We start from the raw sequence: 19,184 nt of genomic DNA on the forward strand, positions 1-19,184 counted from the left end.
AGTCAGGTTTCTCCATTGTACAATTATTATTTCCCCCTCTGTAATTAATATGTTTTGTGGTGAGATACTTTCAGAATATGCAAAATCTTGTTCTCACCAAACTTTTAATTTCAAGTTTTGTATCCACTGATGCCTCTTCCCAGAAACAATACGTTTTTTTCTGTGGTATTTGTCAAATGCTGGTTTTCTAATTGCTTCTATATTTATTTGTTGGAATTCTACTGTAGGGAAGAGGTTTCCCTTCCCCATCATTTACTAATGTATTTACTTATGTCAATATAGACTTATATTTTATTCAATTAGTTATCATCTGTTATTATCATTATTTTGATACCTAAATGGTCCCAGATTTAGGCAATAGGAGCCCCTACAAACTGGTTCCTTTTATTATACGCCCACTATTCTCTTAAACACTTCTTACTTTCTGGCATCAGATGTTCCAAGCTTATTAAGTGCTTTCCCAGCCACAGTCCTAGAATCAGACATTTCTCCAAGCAGCCCTGGTTCCTTTTAATGAAGTTAGGTAGTGGTCTGTCTATTAATTAAAACATATGCATATGCAGAAATCATTACTTTATTAGTACTAAATTAGGACTCTATTTTCAATCCATGGGTGGTTGAATCTGCAAATGCAGAATCTGCAGATATAGAGGGACTGTTGTAATTCATCTGTTTTTCTTCTCCCTACCTCACTGCTTTCTGCTTTTATCTTATTTTCTTCTGTGTGATTCCTTTTGTTCTTCTGCTAGCTTTTTTGGGATTGGACATTTGTTTTTTTTTTTTCCACTTTTACTGGTAAGTGTGTTTCAGGCTATTAATTTCTCTTTTTTTTAAATTTATTAAAATACTGAGTTTTATTTCACATGCATATTTTTGTCTCCCCACCATTTCCATGTCTGACCACCACTACTACTATGTCCTATCATAACATTCCATACATACTTAAGACCAAGCAAAGGGTGGAGTTCCGTCTTTAAAAACTAAACAGGCATTTTGGACAACACATTATTGGCAATGGAGCCTGGACAACATTTATCAAACATGGTAGGGAAAGTTCCCACTCTGCATTATAAAAAGGACAGCCAGATATCAACTGCTACAGAAATGAAGTAAGACAGAAAAATTTTAACAAATTGTTTAAACTATTTTCTTAAAGAGACTTCCTCAACTGCCAGAGATCTTGAATAGCCTCCTGGTCAGTCATCCGGAAGCAATTCTTCATATAATTGATGAACTTGGCTTCCACTTTGGGAAGAGAACCACCTTTTTCTATACTTGCTTGCATTTTTGCTTTAATGTCTTCTACAGAACTAGGTCCTTTTGGTGTTTTAGGAGATTTTTCCTGTTTTTTGAAGGATTCTTACCCGTTTGATCTTGGTATTGATGATGGTTTTGAGTCTTTTCCATTCTGATTTGGCTTTTGTGCATTTTTGGCTGGAGTATCTCATATAGATTTCTTCACTGGTGATTTTTCTTCAGTTTCCTTATTATCAAAATCATCATTATCACCATCTTCATCATTATCATCATCATCATCATCTTCATCAGTAGCAAGTTTTACTTTTTTCTGTGGAACCTTGCTACCACCTCCAGGGACAGACCACTTTCCAGATATACTTAAGAGTTTCACATCCTCCTCCTCTTCATCTACTGACTGCATCTTCCTCCACTGCTACTAAATGTTGTTCACTAATATGCACTGGCCCTGAACCACACTTCAACCGTAAGACCACTGGTGGTGTTATTTCAAAGCCCCTAAGGAAAATTGTTGGCTGTACAGACATTTTCAAAGTTGCCAGTGTTACTTTAATTGGACTGCCTTTGTAATACACTGCCTCTGCTTCAACGATGTGTAATTCATCTTTTCCATCAGCCCCTAAACTGACCGTTCTTAAAGATAACTAGTGCTCATTTTCATCATTATCCACCTTAAAGTGATAATCTTTGTCAGCCTGTAGTTCACAACCAAATAGATAGTTCCAGGGCCTCCGGGGGTTTATGTCCATGTCCATCAAATCTTCCATCAGGTGGCAGCACACACTTAGGTGGGAGAGAAGGCAGATGGAGATAAACAACCACAGCTCAAGAGAACAGCCGCACAGGACAGAATCACATCAGGGACTGATCTCTATTTTAAAGGTATCCCACAGACTCTAATATGTTTCAATTATCATTAACTTTTAGAAATTCTGTAATTTATTTCCCCTTTCTTTTCACTCAAAAGTTGCTGAATATAAGGTTAATTTTCAAGTGAAAAGTATGTTAATCTATTGATTTTGTTACAATTTCTAGTTTTAACGCACTGCAATCAGAGAAAAATTGTTTGTAATATATCTACTGTTTGAAACTTCCTGATACTTTCTTCAGGATACAATTAATAATACGATCAACTTTTGTGTTCCCTGTACATTTGGAGAAAAGGTTATTTTCTATTATCTAGATGTAAAGTTTAAAAGTTGTAAGTTATACCTTACTGATTATTAGGTCTTCTATATTCTTACTCTATTTCATCCACTTGAAATGTTTTACCCTGAGAATGCTGTTATTCTCCTATTACTATTATATTTCAATCTCTACCTTCTGGAATCTCCCATAGTTTTTGCTTTCATAAAGGTGGCTGCTGTGCTAACTGGTACATAGATAACCACAGTTATTATATCTTCATTCTAAATTGTGGCTTTTCATATTTAAAAGTGTGTAAATTTTCTACTGCTGCCAATGACACACCACCACAAACTTAGTGGCCTGAAACAGCATCTACTTATTATCTCAGTTTCTGTGGGTCAGCTGTCTGTGCACAGTGCAGCTCAGTGGATTCTCTGCTCGAGGTCTCACAGGCCCAAAACCAAGAGTAGGGCTATGTTCCCTTCTGGAGACTCTGGGAAAGAAATACTTTCATGCTCTTTCAGATTGTTGGCTGGCATTCAGTTCCTTAAGGTTGTAGAGTTGGAGTTTTCCTTTCTTTGTTAGCTATCATTTGGGAACATCTCTCCGTTTCTTAAGGCTGCTTGCATTCCTTGTCACATTTCCCCCTCCATCTTCAAACCAGTCATGGCAAGTCAGGTCATTCTCGCACTTTGAATATCTTTGATGTACCCTTTATCACTTCTCTCTGACTCTAATCCAGAAAGTTCTCTGCTTTTAAAGGTTCATGTTATTAGACTGAGCCCACCTGAATAACCCAGGATAATCTTTATATCTTAAGGTTTATAACCTTAATTACATCTGTAAGGTTCCTTTGCCACTTAATGTCACAGGTTTCCTGGATGAGGGCATCATTAGGTGAAGAAAAAGGCACTGTATCTACCATAAAATGTGTCCTTCTTTGTTACAATTGGTGTATTTTGGCTTGAATTCTATTTTGTCTAATAGGATCATTGTTTCCTTATTGTTTCCATTTGTCTAGTATGTCTTTAAACACCGTTTATTTTTAGTCCTTTTGAACTACTGTTTTAGGTGTGTCTCTTTTAAATAGCATACATTGGATCTATCTTCTTTCTGAAGAAAATACAAATTTTCTTCTAATGGTGAGTTAGGTGTATTCACATTTGTTGATATTATGGACATATTTAGTCTCAATAATATCTTACTGTTAGATAATTTTGTGTATGTTATATTTCCTGTGTTCTTTACTCCAGGTACCTAGAATAGGCAAACTGATGGAGAGCAAAAGAGAAATCACTAGGGAATGGAGAATTACCGTTTAATAAATACATTGTTTCCATTTGAAAAAGATCAGAAAATGAATAGTGATGATGGTTGCACAACATTGTGAATGTACTTACTGCTATTGAATATACACCTAAAAATATTCCAAATCATAGACTGAGGCATATATATTTTACCACAATAAAAAAATCTAAAAAATATATGCAATATAATTACAAACATAAATTTATAATTTTGTGTATAAGCATAAGAAGTATATATAGTAAAATCTCAAGTTACATTTAAAACCTAATGATCTAGAAGTTACCCAGGCCAATTAGCTGTATAAGCTCAAAGTATACTCTTCTGTCAGGGAAGAGTTTATTCAAGTATTTAATGAACATCAGACTGTAGGCTTAGAAATGTGTTCAATATTATATATAAAGGCTGTTTTAAAGAGCTATTAACTTATTCTAATTAGGTGCTTATTTTTATAATTGTCTTCAGCACAAAACTAATCTCCCTTCATTTCCATGGTAGGATTTAAGAACTTCAAAAATCCTACATATAGAACTATAACAGCAGCAGCTGCAATTTTCTGAGCTGTTTACATCAAAAGGAACTGCACTGCATACATTATTTCATTTAATTCCCACAACAAAATAAAGTAAGTATATAATTCCATTTTAAGAATGAGAAAAGTGAGGTTCAAAAAGCTTAAGTAAGAAGTTACAGAGTTGGTGAGGAGCAGAGCAAGGACTCAAACCCAGGATTAGGTGACCACAAAGCCTATGCTTCTGAAATAAGTTATGTATATGCTAGGGAAATGCATGGCAATCACAAGATCAACAGGCATCTTCATGGGAACAAAAAAAAAAATCCTCTACTAATTTTAAAAATTGTAACTTTTTTTACATTTGCAAAAATTTAAATTTAATTCATTTCATAATAAGACAAACATGAATTATAGTAGAGAATAAAAGGTAACACTGGCACAAAATTTTGAGATAGAACATAACTTCTAAGAAATTTAATGTCAGGAACTTCTCAAAGGTCTTAAATTACCTTCAGTATACACAGAGAGAGCTGTATAGAAGGGCAAGTGGACCTAGATCCACTTTCTTCCTCTAGTTTGACTTGAATGTTAATGTTTAAGAAACACTAAATGAGCTGGGCGTAGTGGCTCAAGCCTGTAATCCCAGCACTTTGGGAGGCTGAGGCAGGCAGATCGCCTGAGGTCAGGAGTTCCAGACCAGCCTGACCAACATGGAGAAACCCCGTCTCTACTAAAAATACAAAATTAGCCAGGCGTGGTGGCACATGTCTGTAATCCCAGCTACTTAGGAGGCTGAGGCAGGAGAATCGCTTGAACCTGGGAGGCGGAGCTTGCGGTGAGCCGAGATTGCGCCATTGGACTCCAGCCTGGGCAACAAGAGCAAAACTCCATCTCAAAAAAAAAAAAAGAAAAGAAACATTAATTGAAAATTTGGCTTCCTATTTCTGAATTACACCAATTGTAGACAAACACAGAGATAAATGAACAGCAACCTTCATATCTCATTTAAGGAAAAAAAGCAGTGTTTATCTCCTCATAATACACATTAAACCCTCAATTACATAACGATCAGTTTGTACCCCTAGAGATTCCTTCAGGCATGCCTATTACCCTATTCCTAACTTAGGATCAGACATGGAAAGATGGGTAAAAATTTAGATCAATATTCAGAAATGACACATTTACTAACAAAAAGAATAACTGTACTGGAGGTTTCAGCCAGTGAAATTAGAAAAGTAAAAAATAAAAGCAATTACAAATCTTATAAGGAAGAAGTAAAACTGTCTTTTAGCAGCTGATATGATCATGTATAAAAGAAAACCTCCTAAGGAAGCTACAATGAAGGTACTAGAACTAATAATTTAACCAGGTTGCAGGATATAAGAGTAAGATACAAAGACAAATTTCTACATACTAACAACAAATATTAAAAACTGAAATTAAACAACATAATTTGCAAGACTATAAAAAATACTTAGAGGTAAATTTATCAAGATATTTTTAAGACCTCTACTTTGAACACTACAAAACATTCCTGAGAGAAATTTAAGATGTAAATAAATAGATATCATGTTCATGGATAGAATATATCAATTCTCCCCCAAATTTATCTATAAGAGTGAAAGTAATCCCAATAGATATCCTAGTGGATGTTTTGTGGAATTATAAATTGATTCTTAAATTTATATGAAAATGCAAAGGATTTGGCAAAGCCAAAATGATTTTGAAAAAGGAAAATAAAACTGAATAATTTATACTACCTAACTTCATGGCAGATTATAAAGCTCTATTAACCAAGTATTAGCATAAAGACATATATAGATCAATGAGTAGAATGGAGATTCCAGAAATAGACCCACACTTACACTACAATCAATTTATTTGACAAAACTTCCAAGGAAAGCCAATGAGCAAAGGATAGTCTTGAAAAAAAAATTATGCTGGAACAATTGGATATCCACATAGAAAATAAAATGAACCTTAACCCTTAAGTCATACCATAGCACAAAAGTAACTTAAATGGGGTCATGATCCCAAGCATAAGATGTAAATCTACAAAATTTCTAGAAGAAAATGTTTCTTACCTTAGGATAGACAAACATTTCTGAGGACACAAAAATATGAACCAAAAATAGACATATAAATTAATATTCATCAAAATTTAAGAAACATCTGAATTACAGTTAAGAAACCAAAAACATAAAGAAAACTTGCCACGAACTAGGAGACGATACAATACATATATGTGACAAAGTGCTAGATCCAGACTATATAATGAACGCTTGTATCTCACTCATAATAGAAAACCCTAATTTAGAAAATGGCCAAGAGATTTAAACACACATTTTACAGAAAATAGCCAATAAGCATACAAAAAGATGCTAAATATCATTTAGTCACCAATGAAATGCAAAGCAAAACTGTGAGATGCTACTGCATATTCATAAGAATAACTCTTACAGACACTACATAAGAGTTGACAAGAATGTGAAACAATGGGCAATCTCTTATTGCTGTGGGAATGCAAAACGGTTGTAACCCTTTTGGAAAACAACTTCGGCAGTTTCTTATAAACATATTAAACGTTAGATCCAAAAATTCTACTCAAGTATTTATCCAAAAGAAATGAATGAAAGCACATCTACACAAAGGTTTGTACAAAAGTGTTCATATTAGCATTATTCATTATAGTCTCAAACCAGAAACAACCCAAATTTCCACCAACAAGGGTGAGTGAATAAACAAATTGTGATACAGACACACACTGTAATACCACCGAACAATAAAACTGAATAAACCACTGGGCAAAAAAATAGTATTAAATAATAACATGAGCAAATCTCAAAAACTGTGCCATGCCAAAGAAGCCATCAGACAAAAGATTGTACACTCTATGATTCCATTTATTTAAAATTCCAGAACACATAAAACTGACCTCTAATGATAGAAAGGACATCAATAATTACCTAAAGTCTGAGCTCAGGGGAGCAAGAGAGGGCATGAGGTAGATTTTTCGAGTGATGTGGATGCCCTATCTATCTATATTGGGCAAAACCAGTCTGTACACTTAGTAAAGTTGATTTGAAAATCCTTCTAAACATATGTTTGGTGAAATGGAACATAGCATATATAAAAGAAGGCAGCTGATGTTAGAGACCAGATTATAAATATTTATAAAAACCTAAAAACAATTTAGGATTAAAATAAAGCTGGAGAGAGTTTCATCATACTTTCAGTGCTATGAAGACAAATCACCTTGGGGTAAAAAAAACTGGGATGAATTTTTTAAAAATTTATTCTAACAGAAGATTTAAAAAGTGATTATATAGAAAAATTAACTGATTATGGTATATTTTTAAAAATCTCTTTCAAACCAGGCGCTTTTTAGGGTGAGCAGTTAGTGCATTTCTTTCTAATTATAAAAGGTGGAGAAAGCAGCACCCAAATTGAACCTGACTGACTCATCTTTGAATGGTTCTTTGAACCATTTCTTTTTCTTTTTTTTAACATTTAAGTTCACGGGTACAAATGCAGGTTTGCTACATAGGTAAACTTGCGTCATGGGGGTTGTTGTACAGATTATTTCATCACCCAGGTACTAAGCAAGGAACCCATTAGTTATTCTACCCGATCCTCTCCTTCCTCCCACCCTCCACCCTCTGAAAGGCCCCAGAGTGTGTTGTTCCCCTCTGTCTGTCCATGTTGAACCACTTCTTTTAAAATTTAGCACAAACCCACTTTCCAGCTTCATTCTGCCTAACTTCAAGTTAGTCCACTGACTGAATTTTCTGAATTACAACTTGTGTGCTATTGTATACAAAGGTCTGGTGTTTGAAATGCTTCCAGATATACAATGAGCATATTTGGAAGTCTGTGGCCAACAGTTTTTGTTACTTTTTAGTCTCAGCCATATTAAAGTGATCTTAATTCATTCTAGGTAATTAGGTTTAAGTACCATAGTCCCAAGAATTCAAGGCTGGCAAACAATGGTTTCCAAAAAAAGAAAATAATAATTTTCCATGTCAAATAATATCTTTAACATACTTTCAGAAACATAATCTAACAATGAGGCAAATTCTATTACTGTCAGAGTTCCTATGTTTTTTTTTTTTAAAGTCATTTTGTTTCTCACAGTTTTAACAACCCATACAAATAGATAAATTCATAAAGAAAATGTCACACATACATAATTGGAACATTATTCAGCCTTTTAAAAAATAAGAGAATCCTCTTATTTGTGACAACATGGATGTGCCTGAAAGACATTATGCTAAGTGAAATAAGTCAGGCACAGAAAGACACTGCACAATTCTTATGTGAGACACCTGAAATAGGAAAAAGTATAGATATAGAAATTAGAATAGTAGTTACCAGGGAATGCAGAAAAGAGAGAAAAAGAGTTGTCATCTAAGGGGAGGCAGTTACACAAGATGAATAAGTTCCAGAGGTCTGCCATGAGAGGGCCTACAGTCAACAATAATATGTGGTACATATAAAATCTTAGAAAGAATGGATCTCATTTTAAATGTTAACAAATCAACAACAGCAACAAAGGAAAACATAGAAAGTTTTGGAGGTGATGGATATGCCCATTACCCAGAATGTGGTGATAGCAACATAAATGAATATGTATATTTAAACTCACCAAATTGCATTAATTAACTATGTGCAGTTTTAAAAGAAACAATTGCATCTCCATAAAAGTGGGAGGAAACACCAGTATGGTAAAGCATGAAAACAAAAATGTACACCAATAGAAAAGAATAGAGAGCCTAGAAATAAATCCACAAACCTAGTCAATTTATTTTTGATAAGCGTACCATGAATACATACTAAGGAAAGGATAGTCAATCCAACATAGTGCTGGAAAAAATGAACACGCCAACAGAATGAAACTAGGCCCTTATTTTACACCATACACAAAAACCAAATCAAAATAGACTAAACACTTAACATAAGACCTGAATCTGTAAATCTACTAGGAGAAAGCATAGGCTCCTAAGCTCTAAGTCCCAGATCAATTTATAGGAAAGTATAAACTTGAAGAATATGCTAGCAGCATATTGCAATACTTATCTATATTTTTATTTTAATTTCCCAACAATTGTTGTAATACATTGCTCAGAAAGGTTATGCACCTTACCCAAACTACCAAAGAGAGCTGTGATTTAAAACCAGATTAAACCCCCAAATCCATTTTAAGTACCATGCTGTAATGCCTCAAAAGGAGAGCTCAATCTCTCCAAGAGGTACTACATAAACTTGGGGAAGAGTGACAGCATAATTTTTAAAAACTTCATTTACCTTCAGGGGACGCAGAGCGCCACAAAATTTTGTCCACCAGCTGTTTTCAATGAATTCTAAATGCCTCTCTCTCTTCTTAAGTGTTCGTAACCTTTCTTCAAATTGTTTTAAGGCGCGTTTATCCCTTGCTGGCAAAGGTCGACCATCTTTGCTCTGCAAATAACAGAACAAAATAAAAGTTTTACCATTAACATCTTAATAAAGTACCCAGCAGATTTAGCAGATCAGGCAACAAAACCTTTTCAGGATGGACACTCTTTAGGCAAATTTACAAACTAAAAAAAACCTGACAACTGCAATATGACAATAAACATAGGATAACCAAGGTCAGCATAAAAATGTGGATGTGTGTACATTTATGCCTACCTTCCTCTTGATCCCAATACATGGTAGAGTTATGTGGAGAGAGATAACCATTTGTAAAAACATTCCACAAAAAGTATGTTTGATAAGAAGTGTTAACTACTATGTACTTTGCTCAATGATTCTCCCTCCTCTCCAAACTCACTGTATCACTTATTTCAATATATTTGGCTCTGCCCCTTCCCTCTCTTTAGTCAAGTGGTTATGTTACCTGAACTGATGCTTCTCAGCCCAATTCAAATGCTAGCAGAATGAAGCAACACAAGCACAGATGGCATACAGAGGTTTTTGTAACAATTGCTAAGAACTGATACTTCCTTGTTTTCCAAGTACTTTGGCAAATGAGTCAAGCTTTCTTTGGCCAACCTATCTGACAGATAATTTCCATCTATTTTTACGCGACACTTTCTGTAACCATGAGCAGTACCTTTCTCATCATATCTCATAGATACACTTTCCCACTGAACTCTCCTGCTCCTATCTTCAATTGGGTACAAAAATAAAACAACTACTAAATACAGAAAAGGTAAAATATAAAATTGTTTTTATCAGCAGGAACAAGAAAAATATTTGTATAGGATTACATTTTTAAAGTGTAGATATATTAGGTATCAGAATGTCTTTAATATTCCTATTAAGGTTTAAATAGGTTCCTAGCAGATACACAACATATTGCTCTTCCCATGTATCCTAGTGCAGCCTCAATTTGAAATCATAACTATAATGCAGAGAAAACCTATGTAACCTTTAATAAAGAGATTTACACAGTTACAACAATCTCTTTACATATCGGCATCACTATGATCTTCTGGAACCAATCATCCTCTCCCACGACTTATCTTGTTGCTTGTCAAACTTCATGCATAAGAATCACTTGGAAAGTTTGTTAAATACATATATCTAGGCCCTATCCCCAGAGGATATGATTTTGTAGGTCTTGGGTGGAGCCTAGAATTTGAATTTCTACCAAATTTCCAGGAGATGCAGATGCTACTAGTCCAGAGACCACACATTACATACTACAGACTATATTCCATTCCTCTAAGTACATTGGGTATTATCACTGGATCCCAGAAAACGAAAACTAAGAGGGATTTTCTGAAGATCAGAGTAATAAAATGAACACTCCCTTCTGGAAGATAAATCCAGGTAACAATACTTCAAGTGTGTGGTATGAGAAGGATTCGGCACTTTATATCTTAACCATAACAATTTCCCCTAAAATTTCCATTATCGTATCAAAAGGATACTACAAATGAGGTAATTTTGTCTCAATGCTGGCGTTCACTATTTTAGAAAAAAAAATAGTAAACTGATTAAAGGATCCACTTGAAACAAACCCAAGTTATCTGCCTACTTGGTGAATGCTTCAGTGGAATGAGGGATGAATTTCCATTCTGCATTGCCAATTGACTAAACGAATATAAGAATAATTTTGATCAGAGAAACAAATACTAAGATGTAAACTCAGCAGTGAACATCTACCTCATTTGAAAGAAAAAATGTAGTTATACAGGTTAAAATGTAGTTAAAGGGAATAACAAACCCCTGGTTAAGAAAAAAAGTAAAACATGAAAGCTTCCCTTCACACTGTCTGTCTCCAATTACCATATTACCATTCCCCTTTCCTATGGTTTTTACTGTTAAGCAGTTAAATATCCTTCAACAAATTTTCTATTTACACACACACACACACGTACACATATACAAATGTATTTACGATGTCTTATTATATGTGTAATTTTTCCTGATCTTCTCCCTCCTTCCACCCTCTGCCCTCCAGTGGGCCCTAGTATGCACTGTTCCCCTCTATGTGTCCATGTGTTCTCATCACTTAGCTTCCATTTGTGAGAACATGCAGTATTAGATTTTCTGTTCATGTGTTAGTTTGCTAAGGATAATGGCCTCCAGCTCCCTCCATGTCCCTGCAAGGGACATGATCTCATTTTTTATGGCTACATACTATTCCATGGTGTATATGTAACACATTTTCTTTATGCAGTCTACCATTGATGAGCATTTAGGTTGATTCCATGTCTTTGCTATTGTGAATAGTGCTGCAGTGAACATTTGTGTGCATGTGTCTTTATCGCAGAATGCTTTATATTCCTCTGGGTATATACCCTCTAATAGGATTGCTGGGGTTGGATGGTAGTCCTACTTTTAGTTCTTTGTGGAATCACCATACTACTTTCCACAATGGTTGAACTAATTTGCACTTCTACCAACAGTGTTTAAGCCTTCTCTTTTCTCAGCAACCTTGCTGGCATCTGTTATTTTTTGACTTTTTAATAACAGCCATTCTGACTGGTATGAGATGGTATCTCATTGTGGTTTTTATTTGCATTTCTCTAATGGTCAGTGATGTTGAGCTTTTTTCATATGATTTTTTGGCCACATGTATGTCTCCTTTTGAGAAGTGTCTTGAGCACCTTTCTTGTGCATAAAACTGGTCTTCTCTTTTTATATTTATTTTTCATAAATCTTCTGAATAACTCTTTGAGGCTGATAATAGTATTATATTCATTTATTAAATGAGAAAAAAAGGCCTACAGATGTTATGTGCACAATCAGTAGAGCTAGATTTTGAACTGAGATAGTCTGATTTTACATGACATAATTCTTCAAGCTACATATAGATTTATAAATATATCTCATTCCTTTTCATCATTGCACATTACAAGATGGTATCTAGATTTAACAACTTATTTTGAACATGCAGATTATTTCTTTTTTAAATTTTTGTTGAGGGCCATTAACAATGTGCCATAAACATTCTTACATACCTGGGTACAAACATATACATACAATTCAGCAGGATAATTTCCTAGAGGTAAACTGTTAGATTAAACTTTAATTATTAAATAAATATTTAATTATTAATTAATTTTAAATATTAAAATACATATGTATTTATATGTACAGGCACATGTCACAACATTCAATTTTCTTTAAAAAGTTGTATATTTTATATACTCACAAACAGTCTATCTAATCCCCAAATTCTGATAAAAATTTGACACAGATGAAAATTTAAAAGAGGTCCAAAGAATTTTTAAAAAATATATTGAGTTGTTCTCGACATATATTATTATTTTACAGTTTGTGGCTATTGTGAATGGGATTATTTTGTATTACATCTTCCAACTAATTAATGATTTTTATGTTTACATCTAGGCACTGTGATAAACTCTTATTAGTTCTACTAGTTTGTCAGTTGATTATTTTAGATTATCATGGTAGATGATATTTGCCAACAAAAAAGTTATTTTCCTTTTTCCCCCTCCTCTCCATGCTTATATGTAAATTCTAAATTATTTCTTATCTGACTCACATTGCCAGATATATGCTAAAAGTAACAAGGATACTAACATTACTCCTATATTTGACGTTAATGGGAATGTTTCTATTCTTTCACTATTAAGTATTATGCTCATTAGAGGCTTCCTTTCCATATTTTCTTATCTTTATTTTGAAAAGACTTTTTAAAAAAATGTAACTACAAATTAACTTTTAGCAAATACTCTGACATCTACTAAGATGTTTATATTTCACATTTAATCTCAATATATTAAACTACTTTAATGTATTTTCTGATGTATCATGTTTGCATTTCTGAGATAAACCTAATCTGATGATTATGAAATATTCTCTTATTATAGCACAGGTTTTGAATTGCTACTTTTTGTTTGTTTGTTTGTTTTTAAACAGGGTCTTGCTCCATCATCCAGATAGGCTGGAGTGCAGCGGCACGATCATGGATCACTGCAGCCGCAACTTCCTGGGCTCAAGTGATCGTCCCAACTCAGTCTCCCAAGTAGTTGGGACTATAGGCATGCCAGTACACCTAGCTAAGTTTTTGTATTTTTTTTGTAGAGATGGGGTTTTGCCATATTGCCCAAGCTGGTACCAAAATCCTAAGCTCAAGCAATCTGGGACTACAGGTGTGAGCCACCAGTACGTACCTAGCCACTTATATTTTATTTGTATTAAAATATTTGCTTCTACTTTCATAAGAAAGCCGGTATATGGTTTTCTTTTTTGTGTGCTGTTATTGTCTGGTTTATTTATCAGAATCATACTAGCTTAGGAGAAAAATTTAGAGGACTTGCTATTTTTTTACCATGATCTTTGAGTAAGATTTATCTGTTACTTGAAGACGACAGAGGAAGAAAAACTTTTTACAGTATTTTTAGAAGTACATTTAATTGGCAAGGGGTTACATGTAATCTTTAGCTTATTCAACTAGTAAATAAAACTTGAACATAAATATTATAGTAAAATATAATATTATAAACGACGATACCTGAGAACTAGTAAGTTCTTGATCATACATAAGAAAAACTTCTGTTTTTTAAGTGTTAGAACAATGATAGAAATTCTCAAATTGCTAGTGTCCTACATTACACAGAAGACAAATTTTTAAAAATATAGACATGGTTTTGTAAGGGTACTGTATTAGTCCATTCTTATGCTGCTATAAAGAACTACTCGAGACTGGGTACTTTATAAAGGAAAGAGGTTTGATTGACTCACAGTTCCGCAGGGCTGCGAGGCCTCAGGAAACTTACAATCATAGCAGAAGGGTAAGCAAACACGTCCTTCTTCATGTGGCGGCAGGAAGGAGAAGTGCCAAAGGGGGAAAGCCTCCTTATAAAGCCATCAAACCTCATGAGAACTCACTCACTATCATGAGAACACCATGAGGGTAACTGCCCCCATGACTCAATTACCTCCCACTGGGTCCCTCCCACAACACGGGGGATTATTGGAACTACAATTCAAGATAAGATTTAAGTGAGGACACAGTCAAACTGTACCAGATATGCTGCAAAAAATTCAAACAATGTAAAAAGTTATGGGGTTGACAATGTCTAAGTCATATCAGAAAGCAGCTCTAAGACAAAGTAGTTTTATGCTTCCCAATTACACCAAAACATCAACTCACTTTTGATTTAATCGTTTGAATGTGTTGTTCTACTTCTTCAATGTCTTCAGTGTTTTCCAAACGTTCATAAGCAGCGCTTCTAGTGCCTTTTATCAGATTTAAAGGTAACGCAGACATGCCATAGGCCTAAAAGAAAAACAATTGAAATGTTTTAGAAATAATGTTTCAAACATATTATACACAATTTTAGGTTAAAAATGTCTTTTAAAGTCATAAGAGTCAGCAGTTGTGAAAGAGTACAGTCACTGAAAACATGGTATATGGGAGTGAACATTATATTGTCTCATAATTCTCCCGTTTATTTTGCATTAAACAGAGTCAAATTTATAATACTATTCCTCAAAGGTTAAGTTGCAAATTTACTGTAAATTTACTGTACAATACTTTATATCAAAGTAATAATTACAAATTCAGACTAATCGAAGGTTAAGATACTATAAATTAGTAAAAAAATTTAAAAAAATGATTTTCTATAAAAAACAATTTTCTCCAAGTATATATAGTAAACCTTTGGTAAAATAAGTATTTTAATATATACATGTTATTTGATTAGCATATCAATTATCTACATTATAAAGTTTATTTAAAAGTTCTAAATATTTATAACCAATCTTTTTGCTAAGTATTTTAAATATTTTCCAAGTAATTTTAACTTATTAATCAGCATTAAGAATAAACATGTTATTATATATACTACCCAATTTCATATTCCAGTCCCAAATGACAGCTTTTTAATATAATCATTAATAATACTTAATGGCATCTGCTACATAACCATTATTCAGAATCATTACTGACCATATTTCCTTAGCAGAAACACTGACAACTATCACCTCCTGGTGGCAGCAACAAACTCTGAAGTGGATACTACATTATGTACTTAAATGTTTTTCACTTTCCTTCTGGCACACTTTACCCCGTGCCCCCTGTTAGATGGGCCATGAGATTGAGTTCAGGACAATGAATGTGAGCAGAAGTGATAAATGCCACGTTTTAGGCATGACCCCAAACACCAAAATACCCTGGGTGATCCTGAATGCTTTTTCTCATGCTCTCTGCTACCTAGCTGTCAACTCCAAGAATGACTTAAGATACCTTTAGTGTTAATTTTAATTAGTTTAATATTCTAATATTCTTCACTAAATCTCTTTTATGCAATGATTAAACATTGCTTAAACCACAATTCAAATAGCAAAGCATAAATTCTAACAAATCAGCTTTTTTTTTAATTAAGGGAGAAGAACAAAAAACATGAATAAAAATTATCCTGAAATCAACTAGTTCTATCATGTAATATCAACTCTACAGTACGTTGTATTTAGATACTTACCTAGCTGAAATTATTACCCAATATCCAAATCCTTGTATTTCCAAAGGAGAAACACTTAAAAAACCTTGCACTTTAAATATTATTAAAACATAAGTTAGTATTCTCATTATTTCCCTTTTATCCCAAAAAAGGACGGGGTGGAAGAAGATTCTGTTACTATTAGATGAAAATGTAATTTGGATACCATACACTTTAAGTATCCCTCATCTTAAATGGCTGGGACTAGAAGTGTTTTGGATTTCAGAATTTTTTGGACTTTTGGTATATTTGGTATATTTGGTATATTTTGGTATATTTGGTATATTTTTTGGACTTTTGGTATATTTGGTATATTGAGCATCCCTAATCTGAAAATCCAACATCTGAAATGCTCCAAGAGAGATGAAACAAGATGGTGGAATAGAAGCCTACACCATTCATCTTCCTCACTGGAAAACCACATTTTAATATCTACACACAGAAAAGTACTGTCACAAGAACCAAAAATCCAGTAAGCAATCACAGTACCTGGTTTTAACTTCATATTACTAAAAGAGGCATTGAGGAGGTCAGGAGAGACAGTCTTGAATCACCAATGCCACCCCTCCGCCATCCCCCAGCGGCAGCCATGAGGCACCATGGAAAGAGAATCTTTTCGCTTTCAGGAGGGACAGCACAGTGGTGACTAAGGGGACTTTACACTGAACTCAGTGCTGTCCTATCACCGTTGACAATAGAGCCATACTGGGCTCAGCTAGTGCCCATGCATAGAAGGAACATTTGCACCAACACCAGCCAGAGGGGAATCACTCATCCCAGTGGTTGGAACTGGAGTTTCTCAGCAAGCCTTGCCACTGTGGGCAAAATGCTCTGGAATCCTAGGTAAACTCAAAAGGCAGTCTAGGAAACAAGGACTGCAATTCCTAGGCAACTCCTAGTGCTAGGCTGGGCTTACAGTGGACTAGGGTGGCATGTGACCCAGGGAGACAACAGCTAAGGGAGTGCTTGCACCATTCCTCTCCCAACCCCATGAAGTGCAGCTCACCTCAACAAAGGTGACTCTTTCCTTTGGCCTGAGGAAAGGAGAGGGAAGAGTAAAGAGAACTTTGTTTTGCGTCTTGGATACCAGCATGGCCACAACAGGATACTGTGCCAGAGTCGTCAGGCCCCCATTCCAGGGCCTAGCTCACAGATGACATTTCTAGACACACCTTGGACCAAAAGTGGATCTGCTGCCTTGAAGGGTAGTCAGGATTGATTACCTGCTGACTAAAGAGCCCCTGGTCCCTCAATAACCAGCAGTGTTATCTACCAAGCACATTGTGGGCCTTGGACTCTGGGACATGCTGGCTTCAGGGGTGATCCAGCACATTCCCAGCTATGGTGGCTGTGGTAAAAGACTCCTTCTGTCTGAGAAAAGTAAAGGGGACTTTGTCTTGCACCTCAGGTACCAGCTCAGCCACAGTAAGGCAGAGCAACAAGCAGACTCTTGAGGTCCCCAAGTCAAGGTCTAGACTCTTAGAGGACAGCATTTTTAGACATGCCCTGTCCAGAAGGGAGCCCATTGCCCTGCAGGCTGAGTCTCAGGCCTGGCAGCATTCACCACAAGCTGTCAGAAGAGCCCTTGGGCTTTAAGTGAACATTAGCAGTGGCCTGGTGGAACCCCATGGAACAGTGTCGATGGTGGCCACAGGGAGAGACTCCTCTGCCTGTGGAAAGGGGAGGGAAGAGCAAGTAGGACTTTGTATTGTGGTGGTGTGAATGTCAGCTTAGCCACAGATCATCAGGTAAACTGCTAAGGTTTTTACTCCAATTCCTGGCTCCCAGACAGCATCTCAGTAGAAACCTTACAGGCCAGCAAAGAACAGCATGACATACTTAAAGTGCTGAAGATAGAAAAATTTTACCCTAGAATAGTATATCCAGTGAAAATATCCTTCAAGTATGAAAGATAAAGATCTTCCCAGAGAAACAAAAGCTAAGAGACTTCATTAACACCAGACCTGCCCTGCAAGAAATGGCTAAAGGGAGTTCTTCAATCTGAAACAAAAGGATATTAATGAGCAAGAGGAAATCATGTGAAGGTACAAAATTCACTGGAACAGTAAGCACACAGAAAAACAAAGAATAGTATAACACTACAATGGTGGTGTGTAACTAGTCTTGTCTTAAGTAGAAAACTAAATGATGAACCAATCAAAAAAAAAAAAAACTTTTCAAGACACAGGCAGTACAATGAGACGTAAAGAGAAACAACAAAAAGTTTAAAAGCAGGAGGATAAAGTTAAAATGTCACGCTTCTATTTGTTTTCTTTTTGTGTGTTTGTATATGTAGTCAGTGTTAAGTTGTCATCAGTTTAAAATAATGGGTTATAAAATAGCATACGCAAGCCTTGTGGTAACCTCAAATTAAATAACATACAACGAATACTTAAAAACATAAAGGCAAGACATTAAAGCATACCACCAGACAAAATCACCTTCACTAAAAGGAAGACAAGAAAGAAGGAAAGAAGGGAGGATCGTAAAATAACCAGAATATAAATAACAAAATGGCAGAAGTCCTTACGTATCAGTAACAACACTGAATGTAAATGGACTAAACTCTCCAATCAAAAGACATAGACTGATTGAATGGATAAGAAATCCAAGACCCATTGATCTGTTGCCTACAAGAAATACATTTCACCTACAAAGACATACAGACTGGAATGGAAAAAGATATTCCATGCCAATGGCAACAAAAAAAGAACAAAAGTAACTATGTTTATATTGGGGAACATAGATTTCAAGGCAAAAAACTGTATGAAAAGACAAAGAAGATCATTATATAGTGATAAGGGGGTCAATTCAGCAAGAGGATATAACAATTATAAATGCACCCAACACTGGAGCACCCAGATATATAAAGCAAATATTATTAGAGTTAGAGAGACAGACCCCAATACATTAACAATGGAGACTTCAACACCCCAATTTCAGTACTGGACAGATCTCTCAGACAGAAAATCAGCAAAGAAACATCAGACTTAACCTGCACTACAAAATAAATGGAC

The 19,184-nt window shown here is 35.0% G+C and overlaps 1 protein-coding gene and 1 pseudogene across 4 annotated transcripts in view, besides 1 other annotated feature; both read right to left on the bottom strand.

The window, feature by feature from the left end:
• Positions 1-19,184, bottom strand: part of LMBRD1 (LMBR1 domain containing 1) — a 123,001-nt gene that overhangs the window by 30,127 nt on the left and 73,690 nt on the right. For all 4 annotated transcript variants that reach the window (NM_018368.4, NM_001367272.1, NM_001367271.1 and 1 more), the window contains exons 8-9: positions 14,820-14,945; positions 9,509-9,661 (exon numbers count right to left, since the gene is read on the bottom strand). In NM_018368.4, coding sequence (NP_060838.3) covers positions 9,509-9,661; positions 14,820-14,945 — 279 coding nt within the window. The remainder of the gene's footprint in view (positions 1-9,508; positions 9,662-14,819; positions 14,946-19,184) is intronic.
• On the bottom strand, positions 854-2,040 carry NPM1P37 (nucleophosmin 1 pseudogene 37; annotated as a pseudogene).
• Positions 14,468-14,668: a silencer, noted in NCBI's record as "peak5886 fragment used in MPRA reporter construct". NCBI's record gives its function as "represses an SCP1 promoter by STARR-seq MPRAs in K562 erythroleukemia cells {active_cell/tissue: K562}" and the evidence as "EXISTENCE:reporter gene assay evidence [ECO:0000049][PMID:32103011]".

Source organism: Homo sapiens, chromosome 6, assembly GCF_000001405.40.
Source record: "Homo sapiens chromosome 6, GRCh38.p14 Primary Assembly".
NCBI lineage: Eukaryota > Metazoa > Chordata > Mammalia > Primates > Hominidae > Homo > Homo sapiens.